The sequence below is a fragment of the Homo sapiens genome, chromosome 18 (genome assembly GCF_000001405.40).
Source record: "Homo sapiens chromosome 18, GRCh38.p14 Primary Assembly".
Lineage (NCBI taxonomy): Eukaryota > Metazoa > Chordata > Mammalia > Primates > Hominidae > Homo > Homo sapiens.
In genome coordinates, this window is record NC_000018.10 from 36022902 (window position 1) to 36036868 (window position 13967).

A 13967-nucleotide genomic window follows, 5' to 3' on the forward strand; every position below is an offset into this window, starting at 1 on the left:
CAGTGAGCTGTGATTGCATGACTACTCCAGCCTGGGTGACAGAACAAGAGACTGTCTCCAAAATAACAATAATAAAAAATTACTATTGACAACATACCTGGTCACCCAAGAGCTCTGATGAAGATGTACAATGTGACTAGTGTTCATGCCTGCTAACACGTGTTCTGCCACTTATAGATAAAAGAGCAATTTTGACATTCAAGTCTCACTATTTAAGAAATACATTTCGTAAGGCTATATAGCTGCCATAGTCATTCCTGTGATGAATATCGGCAAAGTAACTGAAAACTTTCAGAAAATGATTCACAATTCTAGATGGCATTAAAAACATTCATGATTCATGGGAGGAGATAAAATATCAACATTAACAGGAGTTTGGAAGAAGTTTACTCCAATTCTCATGGCTGACTTTGTGGGGTTCAAGACTTCAGTGGTGAAAATAACTGTAGATCTGCTGCAAATAGCAAGAGAACGAGACACAGAAGTGGAGCCTGAAGATGTGACTGAACTGCTCCAATCTCATAAAACTTGTTGGTGAGGAGTTGCTTCTTATGGATGGGCAAATAAAGTGGTTTCCTGAGATGGAATCTACTCCCAGTGGAGATGAAATGACAACAAAGGATTTACTTGATAAAGCAGTAGCAGGGCTTGAGAAAATTGCTTCTAATTTTGAAAGCAGTTCTGCTGTAGGCAAAATGCTATCAAATGTACTGCATCCTACAGAGAAATCTTTCAAGAAAGAAGTCAACTGATGCAGCAAACTTTATCACTGTGTTAATAAACTGCCATAGCCACATCCTTCAGCAATCACCACCCTAATCAGTCAACAGCCATCAATATCAAGGCAAGACCCTCCACCAGCAAAGACTATGACTAACAGAAGGCTCAGATGATTAGTCTTTTTTAGCAATGAAGCATTTTTAACTAAGATACGTACATTTTTTATATGTAATTTTATATGTAATCCTAATGCTTAGACAACAGTAAAGTGTAATTGTAATACTTAGACAACAGTAAAGTTGTAAACATAACTTTTGTATGTACTAGGAAACAATGTCAAAGTCAAAATGTCATTTTAATTCTCCTATTCATGTATGCCTTCCAAGATAATAAGCTAACTGAAAAACAGTTTATGCAATACTTTCAACTTCATAATGGTAAAATGATTCCTATAGCAATCCCTAAATATTATAAATGTAAACTAAAGTTATTAATAGTCTATTTTAACAGTTATCTCGTGTGTGTGTGTGCACGCGCACGCGCGTGATGGAGTCTCGGTCTGTCGCCCAGTCTGGAGGGCAGTGGTGTGATCTCAGCTCACTGCAACCTCCACCTCCCAGGTTCAAGTGATCCTGCTGCCTCAGCCTCCCAAGTAGCTGGGACTACAGGCACCCACCACCACACCTGGTTAATTTTTTTTTTTTTTTTTTTTTAAGTAGAGATGGGGTTTCACCATGTCAGCCAGGCTGGTCTTGAACTCCTGACCTCAAGTGATTCACCCAGCTCAGCTTCCCAAAGTGCTGAGATTACAGGCGTGAACCACCACACCCGGCCCAACAGTTATCTGCTTCTGCTTAGTAACCAACTATAGTCAGAAGTTTCAAAAATAATGATTGTCTTAAAACACAAATTTTAAACCACTTCATGTTTTCATTCATTACACATGCTTTAATAATGGCTTCCTTAAGAAATATGAAATGGCCAATTCCCGAACTGATACTTTAAATTTATGTTCCATTATCAAAAATGCAGCAACAAATGACACATCAGTATCTGGTCAACCACTGTTAATGTTCAAAGATACACAATAGATGAAAATTACTTGATAGTATCACAGCTGATTCAGAAAACATAAATCTTCACCTCTCAGTCTCAACTTCAAAGTGATGCCACCTACTTGGTACAAAAAAGTCTAAATATCTCAAATCATTTCCACATCTTCTACAAAGGAATAACATAGTTCTAAGTGATAATTTACAAAGAGTTCTGTGGAATAACTTTCAAGTTTATTTCTGTACTTGTAAAGAGTATTTACTTGTTAAAAAACAGCTGAACATAATTGAGGTGATTTCTTCTTTATAATATAAAATCCAGTTATGCAGAAGAACAACAAAAAAAGTTCCTAGAAGGCTTTATTTCAAGACAGTGATTACCTCTGAGAAGAGAGGGAGCAGAAAAAGTTGGAAAAAATAGGACTTTAGCATTTGCTTTAATCTTAGATTTAAGTAAAAACAGGAAGCAATGTGTCTTTTTGATGAAGTGCACTGGCTCTGGAGGCAGATTCTCTGCGTTCCAAACAACTCACTAGCTCTTTGTGACCTTAGGCAAGTTACTTAATCTTCCTGTGCCTCAGTTCTGTATCTATCAAATGTGGATAATACATCCTGCTGTGTAAGATTAAATGAGTTGCTTATGTGAAGTGCCTAGAATAGTACCTGACACATGAATGTTAACATTATTATTATCATCAGCCTCATAATCTATGACTGTCAACTATGAAATGTGGCTGGAAGGCACTGGGGGAAAAGGGGGTTGTGGGGAGTGGCATCTGATCTATTTTCTACAGTTACACTTCAAATATAAATTCTGTTTTTGTAAACAGTGACAAATGACCATCATCATAAGTGAGAAAGTATAAAGCAGAATAAAGTTACAGTCTTCTCTTCAATTTTCAAAAACATGAGACAATACAGGCTTCAGGGTTTGATATTTATTTTTAGCAGGAAGAATATACTAATGGTGACGACATCGTTAGAAGATACGCCCATGTCCAATATCTGCAACAGAAGCTCAATAGAAGTTAAAGAAACCATACTAAAAGACTAAAGACAAAAATTGTATGACATTACTTACCCTTAATTCTGTGGACAATAAAACAATTAACACTATGTTTAAAATTGAGGTTTCATCACAAGGTGAAATAGTGGCAAGTTAATTATCAAATTCATCTTTTAAAAAAAAAAACCATCTTTTCCTTTCCATGTAGAAGTGGGCAACCTCTTCAAAGGTATAGTGGCCACCAACTATCATCATCTGAGGGTATTTATACGAGCAGAGAAGGAGTAAATTGCAAAGGAGTAGTGCTAACTTGAGAGCTGGGAATTTGAGGTGGGAATAATTAAGTAGCAGCTCCCATGGGTAGCAATGGCAATCTAATCTAAGCACCATTTTTGGCACAATTAGAGACTGCTGAATCAATAACTAAACACTAATAAAAATAACTTAATGGGGTAGTACCATGACATTCCTACAAATTTACAGTGAGCTTTCTGTAAATAAAGGGATTCAAATTAGAAATTCTCCTACATATTATTACAATAAGAAATTGCCACAGCAATACAATTTAAACAAGAACTCATCAACTGAAAGATTTTTTTTACATAAAACCAAATCTGGCTCATGTATCCCTAACAATTGCTACTCTAATCAAAGGAAATACGAGCATTTTTTAAAATCACCTCCTGTACTCCCAGATTTCTCATTAGCGGTATTAATTATTACTTAATTTACAGGAGCAATGAATTTCTGCCTAAGAGTGTGAGCCGGGAGTGGGGCTGGAACATGTAAGCATTAGAATTGGCGGGTGGAATTAAGGGAGTAATTTAAAGACTTAATGGTATACCTAAAAGACTACATCTTCTCAAAACAGAAACTAAATAAATCCTACTACAAGTGACTGCCACCTGCTATTTTCCTATTATTTCTGTGATACATTAGGGTTAAACTGGTAAGATAAATTATAGTTGCATGGAATTTCACAAGAATAATTTTTAAATGCAATCAATTTTGCTAATTCCAAATTTCTAAGTTTACTTGCAAGATTAATTTGGTTCAAGTAGAAGAAAAACCATTAATACAAGGAGAAGCTTACCTGGGCTACTGCTTAAAAAGGTCTATGTTAAAAAATGCAAAATGTGCACATAGATTAAAATATTTTAAAATTCCTAACAAAAAGAGAATTAAATAAATAAGCACTAAAGAAGAAAAAGGTTACGCACTTCCAATTTATGCTCTTTCTCTGCAAGGGCTTCCTTTTGACAACGAAGAAAATCTGCTAACATTCGAGTGAGTTGCTTTCTATCATCTATTTCTGCCGCCAATCTGCCATTGTAATCTGCCAGCAACATACACGCATCCTCTACCATTTTGGAAAGCCTTTCTCCAGATTCTTTATCTAAGAAAAGCACGGGATAATAAAATATTATACAACAAAAACAATGACATATGCTGTTCTCTCATCCCAACTCCCAAAAAAGTTCTGGATCACATTTTCTTTTCTTACCTGTTATTTTATCTAATAGAGATACTTCTTGGACTTCAACAGGTAAAGAAGCTATCCTCTGATGAACTGCTGCATCACCTGAGGCTGCATTTTCCAGATCTTGTAATGCTCTAACGAGATCTAGAGTCTAAAAAGTACACAACTTCAGAACCAAAATAAATTGAGCTTAAACAAGTGCAAAAGACTTTAATTTCATATTCTTTCATCCCTATGGGCTATTTACTAGTACAAAGCTCCTAATATAAACTGCTTTTGAAGACAATCAATTTCTTTCATATGTTAAGAAAAAAGGAGGCTATACTATGTTAGGTGTTGAAAATATAAACAGGACAAGGCCCTAGACCTTGAAGAGAGCTTACTCCAGTGGTGGAGACAGAGTAATAATAATTATTTGAGTACTAAAATGAGGTAATGAGGATTTATATGGCAAATACATCAGTGGTGAAAGAGAAGGTAGGCTATAACATCAACCTAGAGAATACAAGTTTTATGTATGATATATTCATTACATTATCATTGTACACTAGAAGTTTTTTTAGTATTAAATTGGATATTATGGAAAGAGGGTTACAAATCATCTACTACAACACAGAAGAGTCTCCCAGATTTCATTTCTAAATGCTGTAATTAAAGCCCAAGAGAAATGTAGTTCTAGAATATGTTCAAATATGATATCTTCAAGTATCCTATGGCTTGTTAATAAGATTAAAATATTTCAAAATTCCATAATCTGATGACTAATATATATTGCTTAACCAGTACTGAAATTATTTTATCATTAAAATATTTTACTTCCACTGTTTTCATACAAGCTATAATTAGGAGGGAAGCGCAACTCTTTGCTGGTGATTTCACAACTCATAATGTCTATAAAGTTATTCCAAAGAAAAACAATTAAATTTTATTTTTACTAGTTTCCATTCTCCAGCCCATCTTTTTCATCTTTCTTTCTTAATTTCTAATACTAGATTCAGAAACACTAGGAAATTACACATATGCTTTAAAAAATATAGGATATTAGTAATTCTGTGTATATATTAAGATTTTTAAACTATTCCCTTGAAAAAAAGGGTAGCACATGACAAATGATCAAATGTGGTAGGAATGAATGAAACTAATAAGAAATATACTATCCTACGTGTGCTCACTCATTAGAAGTGTTTAAAATTTCAGTATTTTAAAAAATAATTTTGTTGTAAGATATATCCCCTCTACAATTAAGGTGTGCTTAAGAGTAACAACAATTACCAGAAAGCTTGTTTCTCATCTTGCCACAACTAATATATTATTTTTAAAATCATTCTTAGAAAATTCTAATTGTCTGGAGTTCTAAGAAGAAATCTGGCTTTATTGTCTTGGCAATGCATTGATGCTTTAATTACAACCTGATCTCATCACACCTTCACAGTCCTACATGAGTACATTCTAAGTTCCCAATGCCTGATCAAGCATCAGATAAGAAAGCAAAGTTGTCTGAAACAATACTAAGCCTACTACTTCCTACCAGAGGAGAATGAAATGAGTTTAACGGGAACCTACAAAGAGATTTTAGCCATTCTTATAAAGAATAACACACACACAAAAATGAAGACCACAAAGCTGAACCATTGATAATTAAGCAGCACAACTAATCTAAAAAACGATCATTATAAAACAAAGAGCAACAGCATTTTACACAAGTACTAGAGGAGAGGCAGATGATTACTTAAAAATACTCCTAAGATATGCAACTGTGGTTACCCTTTCATCAGGGAGAGCGGAAGGAGACCAGATCCTTTATCTAGAACTTAGGTAAAACACTGTTCATAGAATCATGAGGCTCTTAGCCAAAAATGATTTTCTGTCATGAGTTATTACCAAATAGGAAGAGACATAAATCTTAGTGTTTGGTTGTTCCAAATGTAACATTCTTATCACTTTTCTATTCAAGCTCTTGTCCATAGTGGCCAATGGGCTTCAGCATTCCTATCACTGAACAAACAGGTAGGCTGACTCAGGTCGTGGCCTTGGTCTGATTCCTTCTGCTTCTCCAGTACTGAGACTAATATAAATCCACAGTTACAGGTAGTAATTGATTGTATTTTTCTTTCACCTTCATGGGGGAAAGAGCTCCTCCCAGCCTCTGATTTTATTCAGTGAATTTGGAACCAGTCCTCTAACTCCCACGGAGCACTGTGAGTTCCTGTTGCCCTTGTGAGTTCCTGTGACCTTAAAGGATACTAATTTCTGGCAACCCCATGTCTGCTTCGGGACCAGGGCTCAGCAGGAGCCAGGTTTTGTCTCACCTATGAAGTTAGGTGTACAATTTCTAACCCATGAAAATACATTCGCCTTGTTTTAAGAGTATGGTTATGTCTTCATTTTCTCATTTTACACTTTATCTGTCCCGCCTACATGTTTGAAACATAGAAGGAGGAAGCTTAAAGACTCAATGCCCACTTAAAAAAAAAAAAAAAAAAAAGTCTTTCTGGAATTAATCTGATGGTTAAGGAATACCATACCATACCAACATGTAGGAGGACACAGAGTGTTAAGATAATAATTCTAACTTATTTTTCCACAGAATTACATAGTTCTATATAGTTACAAAGAAATGTATGAACACATATATATCACTCTAACACTACTTTTTTTTTTTTTGAGACGGAGTCTCGCTCTGTCACCCAGGATGGAGTGCAGTGGTGCTATCTCGGTTCACTGCAAGCTCCGCCTCCCAGGTTCACGCCATTCTCCTGCCTCAGCCTCCCGAGTAGCTGGGACTACAGGCGCCCGCCACCACGCCCAGCTAATTTTTTGTATTTTTTAGTAGAGACGGGGTTTCACCATATTAGCCAGGATGGTCTCGATCTCCTGACCTCATGATCCGACCACCTTGGCCTCCCAAAGTGCTGGGATTACAGGCGTGAGCCACTGCGCCCGGCCACTCTAACACTACTTTTTACATTTAAAAACAAAAATACTTAAAGGGGCAGTGATTATGTCCAAGAATGAAAATTTTAGTGTATTTAAATCATACATGAGCCGGGCACAGTGGCTCATGCCTATAATCCCAGCACTTTGGGAGGCCAAGGTGGGAGGATCACTTGAGGCCAGGAGTTCAAGACCAGCCTGGCCAACATGGTGAAACCCCATCTCTATTAAACACAAAAATTAGCTGGGCTTGGTGGCCCGTGCCTGTAGTCTCAGCTATTTGGAAGGCTAAGGCAGGAGAATCGCTTGAACCCAGGAGGCAGAGGTTGCAGTGAGCCAAGATAGTGCCACTGAACTCCAGCCCTGGGGACAGAGTGAAACTCCGTCTCAAAAAAAAAAAATCACATAACAAAATAGGCATGTTTTGTTTTATTTTAAAAAGTTTAAATAGCTAACATCTCACATCTAACCATATTTGGCAATTAAAAATCCTCTTTCTATACAAAACATGATTTCTATGCAAAATATACAATATACAACATACTACATTTAACATAAGCAATTTGTTAATGAGGAAGAGATATTCATGTGGCTTCTTTCTTGTACCTAAAAGTATAATAGAAATCAATTTACAGAAGTGAAACGAAATTAATAAAGCTTGGTGGCAACATGAAGTAAAAGTTTGTAACTCTTTTAACAGGGTAAAATTTCTACCTGTGGTGGTTCACTTGGAGATCCCAGAGAGGAACAGTTTTCATTTTCATCCACCTTTATCTGTTCATAAGTTCGCTTCCTAGGCTTCTTATCACCATCTGAAATGAAAGAACATTTAAGTATTAATGAAAGAATACATTTTAATGAAGAGATCAAGGTAAGAGATCAGGATTCTACACTTACACAGAGCTTGTTTAAGTTGTTCTAATACATCATTTTCATAAACAGACCTTTCTTCCCAAATAGATAACACTCTTCCAAGGTGCTTCTTACAACTTTCATCAGTTTCACTAAAAAAAAAAAAAAAGAAAAAAAGAAAAATGTTAACAGTAACAATGCATAGTGTTATTGAAAAGGTTAACGGTAACTTTAAATATAATCAGACATTCATTCCCTGGAAAAAACTGTCCAAATGTCTACTTAGCATCACTATGTGGCCAGCAGCTCAAAAGTGAAGTGATCTAGACACACTGCTTGCTTCTAGTAAACATTTTATAAACATATTATTACACAACCAAAAAAAGTTTAAACTGTAAAAGTTTTAGTACTGGCTGCTAGGGATTTCCTATCCTAATGGGGCCTGGACATGGGGCTAAGGAAGATTTCTCATAGGTTATTTTTTTAAATTTATTCAACAAATACTTATTGATCCAGTTACTATCTTTGACATGGAGATGCAAATGCAGCTTATGGCAGTTGTTATTTATAAGTATCACAAAAGAGAACAAAGTGCTTAAGACAGACCTGGCCCTGTTTAAGAGATATCCGGAAGAGTATTTAAGGAAATGATATTTAATTTGAGATCTTAAGACTAGACATATGGGGAAATGAAAAACAGACTACTCCCAACTGTTTCCTACCTCCTTCATTGCTATCACTGTAGACAGAAACACTACTATCTCTTGCTTAGAATTTTGTAAAGTCTTCTCACGCTCTCCCAGCCTCTACTCTTTTACTCTATTCTGTACAAAGCATCCTAATAATGTAAATCAGATTATACAGCTCTTGATCCTCCAAGAGCTACCAATCACATCAAGAATAAAACCAAAATCCTTACTCTGGGCCATAAGGCCCACATGCTCTGCTTTCTGGCAGTCCCTCAGTACACACTCCCTAATACCTAGTACCATACAAATCTCCTTGCTAAGGTCCTCAAACATGTCCAGCATATAAGCTATCTCATTTTTTCGGCCACATATTCTCTCTACCTAGAATCCTTTCTGCCTAGTCAAATGGCTCATTTCACCCCTTCCTTTAGTCTTTGTTCAAATGCCACCTTCCCCAAATAGTTGTTCTTTATCTCATCACATAACTGAGCGCCCTCATACTATCTAGTTCCTTCCCTGCTTTGTATTTCTTGCTAGCATTTGTCATCTGACATTATGCATTCACTTGTCTATCTACTTATTAACTTTGTCATCCAATGAAATGTAGGCTCCAGTAGAACAAAACTGTCTTGGTCACTACTACTCAGGGTTTTGCATATAATAAATATTTATGCAGCCAATAAATATTTTACTGAATTCTAGGGAGGGGCAACATATATAGAAGACTTAAGGCGGAAAGAACTAAAAAAGGTTAATTTAGCTTAAACTGTAGACTATAGACTGTGTGGAATAAATGCGAGACAGAGGTCTGGGGAGATAGGCAGTGCCACGAAGGAACACCTTAAGTCTTGCTCAGGACTTTAGACTTCATCTCTAAAACAAATGGGAACCACTCAAAGGCAAGGAAGTATTATGACCAGCTCTGCAACTCTGTCGAGTTTTCTAAAGAAATTAAACAATACTAAAGGGCATTAAAATTATACTGAAAATACATTATGGTAACTAAAAGGGAAAGAAATCCAAAGAACCGAGTCAATGTGTACTATGTGAGATATGGGGACTGAAGGAGAAAGAAGAGTTTAAAGGTAACATAATTTCTTGCATAGGCACCTGGATAGATCGAGTTGCCATTCACAGAGTATAAAACCTACAGGAGGGACAAGTACGGTGGGAAGCAAGGACATAATGAGTTCTGTATCAGACACAGTGAGTCTGAAATGTTTGAGACGCATACAAGTAAAAATGTCAAAAGGCAATTGGGCACACAGGTTTGGAACAAAAAAAAATCTGGACTGGAGCATAAAACTGTAAGTCATTACGGTGTGGAGAATAACCAAATACATGCGATGTACAAAATTACCCAGAGGGCAAGTAAAGAATGGAAACAGGCCAGACATGGTGGCTCACGTTTGTAATCCCAGCACTTTGGGAGGCCGAGGCAGGTGGATCACGAGGTCAGGAGTTCAAGACCAGCCTGGCCAAGATGGTGAAACCTTGTCTCTACTAAAAACACAAAAATTAGCCAGGCATGGTGGCAGGCACCTGTAATTCCAGCTACTTGCGAGGCTGAAGTAGGAGAATCGCTTGAACCCAAGCGGCAGAGGTTGCAGTGAGCCAAGATCGCACCACTGTACTCCAGCCTGGGTGAGAGTGAGACTCTGTCTCAAAAAAAAAAAAAAAAAAAAAAAAAAGAATAGAAACAGTACTAAGTGTATATGGAAATATTTGTTACAAGACTGATAGCTTTATAAACACACAAATTTTTACTTCAATACCTTCATTCATTTTTAATGAAGTTCATTCCAATATAGCAGTTGGTTCTGGTCTCTTAAAGGAAAGCTGTAATTCAAGTACTCCAAAGGCCCACCTTAGCAACAGTTCAAAAAATATTTTTCCTTCAGAGAAGGCATTTAATACATTTATAAATGCCATGTAGAGGGAAGTCTTTTCAAATAAAAGCATCAAAAAACTATATTCCCTACTTTTTATTTTAATAGTTTAAGGCAAATTTTAGCAAAAGGACATATGGTACATTTAAAACAGATTACCTAATACCCAAAACTATGATCATACCTTGAAACATGCTTAAAAGCCTCCACTATAACTGGTGCAAAATCTTTTGTAAACTCTGGCCCCTTCCTCTTGCTGTTCTGTATGACATCATTGGCTAGGTAGAGAAAAGTAAGCTTCCTGTTTGGTTTGGCTGAAAAATAAGAAAAAGTTAAAAATCTACTTAAAACATCTTTACTTGGACAAACTTTCTCAATACCTAAATTAAGCATTTTGAGAACTAAAATAACCCTACTAACCTTTATGTATCATTTCAACCCTAGTCTCTCATTTTACTACCAAACTAACCAGTCACTGCTGCTAAAATCGCCAGAACTAATGTCTATGTAAAAATGCATCTCGGTGACTCTATCCTGTATTAAATTTTAGTAAAACCATTACAAACTATATGAAATATAGTCATTTAAAATAAGATGGTGATTGCTCATGTTATTAAGATGGCACCCTAAATCCTACATTGAATTTAGGATTGTTTTAATAGACATGTTAATTCGAAATCATTATTAAGCTATTGTGAAACAACAGAAGAGCATGAAATGTAAAACAGGTTGAAAGAGATGTCCCTTCAATCAATTACTATTTTTTGTTTATGCAATAAATATTTGCCAAGCTAATAGATTAACTGCTAGGGAGAGTAAATGGGAAAAGTTTAGATGTTTCTGTCTTTAGATTACATGGCCATAAATTTTAAACTGAATTCATTATGACAAAAATATTCCCCTACTCACTATGCTCTGTGGGTGTAGTCATTTCTCTAAGGAAATAGACAAGATTTCAACAGTTGTGGGCCACAGTACATTTTTACTGGTTACAATGTTAAATAGCATACTACTACTGAATATGACTCAAATAAGATTATACATAAGGAAAACAGTGTTGAACATAATATTTTATACTATTCTTATATTTTACTAGAATTAAATTTGAATCACTCAATGTAGTACAGTTATATTCAGAAGCATCATACCTTGTGGCATCCATAGTACAGTGGTGTAGGAAACTTATGGTCAGGACCAATTATGCAGTATCCTATTGATGTGGGCTATCTTATTGGATTTAAGACAAAAATCTTGATCAGGCTACATGTGGTCCTCTAGATGTTAAGTATTCAATTTACAAATTTAAGCATTTGACATATTAAAAAGTCACCTCTGAGTTCACATCATTCTCGAGGAGCAACCAGAAGCCCAACCTTCTCATATACTAAGTCACAACTGATCAAACTTTACAAACCTGTGCCATGCCACTGTATAACCTGGTTTGTCTGTTTAAATTGCTGTCTACCACTTTTCATGATTTTGCAAGTTGCTGGCATGGAATAAAAATAAGAAGAGATGGCTATAACAGAGACCAGCTTCTGGTTTTCAGGCTCCTTGTCTGGTTAGATAAACCACAGTGTACAACTGGTTAAGATATCGGGACCCTATCCTAACATTCAGTCCTGTCTCTTTTGTACCCATCCTTGCCCTCTCAATCCCACCCACAAAATAGATTGGTATTGTTCAATCCAGATTTTTGCCTTCCCAGTGTCAAATGAGTTTAGAAACTCAAATTTGTATTATCTAATTGGGAGATTGCCTGCATCACTTTTGAATGGGTACCTGAACAAACAATCCTTTCACTGCACTTTTACTATGTGCTACACACTATTCCAAGCACTTTACATACATTATCTCAATCCTAACAATATGTCTCTATTTGGCAGCTGAACAAACAAAGCCAAAAACATTATTTGCCCTCAGGGAAATAATGAGGAAGAGATAAGCCAGGATTGGAATCCAAAAAGTCCAACAGCCAAGCAAATCCCTCTTAACAACTAGACCATGCTTCCTGTCATAATTAAAAGGGCATGTTAATCTTTGAGACTCAAAAGTAGCAACTGAAAAGAAGAAAAAGATAAAACAATGCAAAACAAAAAGTAGCAACTGAAATAAAAATATTTTACAATGTTAGCAGCATTATTCACAATAGCCAAGAGTTAAGAGCAACCTAACCCACTGATCAATGAATAAACAAAATGTGAATTATATATTCAATAAAGTATTATTCAGCCTTATAGAAGAAGGAAATGTTGACGCATGTTACAACATGGATGAATCTCCAGGACATCATGCCAGGTGAAATAATCGAGTCATGAAAAAAGACAAACCACTGTATGATTCTACTTATTGGAGGTACTCAAATTCATAGAAAAAAAGAGTAGAAGGATAGTTGCCAAAGGCTGTGGGAATGGGAGGAGAATAGGAAATTATTCATGGGTACAGAGTCTCAGTTTTGCAAAATGAACAGTTCTGGAAACTGGCTACACAACAATGTACTTAACACTACTGGACTGTACACGGAAAAAATGAAGATGGTAAATAATATTTATTACCACAAAAACAAAAAAAATGTTTTTGTTTTTTTTGTTTGAGACAAGTTCTGTCTCCCAGACTAAAGGCTCACTGCAGCCTCGACCTCCTGGGCTCTAGCAATCCTCCTGCCTCAGCTTCCAAGTAGCTGGAACCACAGGCACACGCCACCATGCCTGGCTAATTTTTTAAATTTTTTGTAGAGATAAGGTCTTACTTTGTTGCCCAGGCTGGTCTTGAACTCCTGAGCTCAAGTGACCCTCCCACCTAGGCCTCCCAAAGTGCTGGGATTACTGGTGTGAGCCACTGTGCCTGGCCCTAGAATGTTTTTTAAATTCATGGGTTATATCAATCTCTCAAAGAATTCAGAATTGCTTTTACAATATACACTAAAATAAAAATTTACAAGATTTAAAAATATATTTACCAGTGTTTTCCAAAGGACAAATTCCATATGAGGTGATTGAGCATGGGGTCCAAATACCAAGATACTATTTTCACTTTTATCTTTGTAGGACCAAGCAAAAATATGAAAAATACCCAGCAATCATCACAACTTATGCCCTTCCCTAAATTTTCAGGGAAAGAAATTTACTTCCATTTAAAATTATGTGTCCCTATACATACAGCAAATAATTAATGGCGGTAATCACAGCAAGCAATCCAAGAAAATCACACAAAAAATTTCCAAATGAATTTTGATATTTTTAAAAATAACAGAGCCATAAATTGTTATTAAAAGAGAAACAGTTAACAGAAAGGGAAAACAAACCATGTCATAATTCCACAAAGAAATGCCACTGTTGGCAACAA

General features: G+C 36.0%; 1 protein-coding gene across 4 annotated transcripts in view, besides 1 other annotated feature; it reads right to left on the reverse strand.

Moving 5' to 3' along the window:
- The window catches only part of RPRD1A (regulation of nuclear pre-mRNA domain containing 1A), a 77736-nt gene that overhangs the window by 33078 nt on the left and 30691 nt on the right, over positions 1-13967 (reverse strand). For 3 of the 4 annotated variants that reach the window (NM_018170.5, NM_001303412.2, NM_001303411.2), the window contains 5 exons: positions 10807-10936; positions 8090-8196; positions 7907-8004; positions 4283-4409; positions 3999-4174 (listed from right to left, as the gene is read on the reverse strand). In NM_018170.5, coding sequence (NP_060640.2) covers positions 3999-4174; positions 4283-4409; positions 7907-8004; positions 8090-8196; positions 10807-10936 — 638 coding nt within the window. Of the gene's footprint in view, positions 1-1984; positions 2778-3998; positions 4175-4282; positions 4410-7906; positions 8005-8089; positions 8197-10806; positions 10937-13967 lie in introns of those variants that run through there. The other variant, NM_001303413.2, reaches the window with a different exon arrangement.
- Positions 2145-2439: a silencer, noted in NCBI's record as "tiled region #15530; HepG2 Repressive non-DNase unmatched - State 15:Elon". NCBI's record gives its function as "represses a minimal TATA promoter and a strong SV40 promoter by Sharpr-MPRA in HepG2 cells {active_cell/tissue: HepG2}" and the evidence as "EXISTENCE:reporter gene assay evidence [ECO:0000049][PMID:27701403]".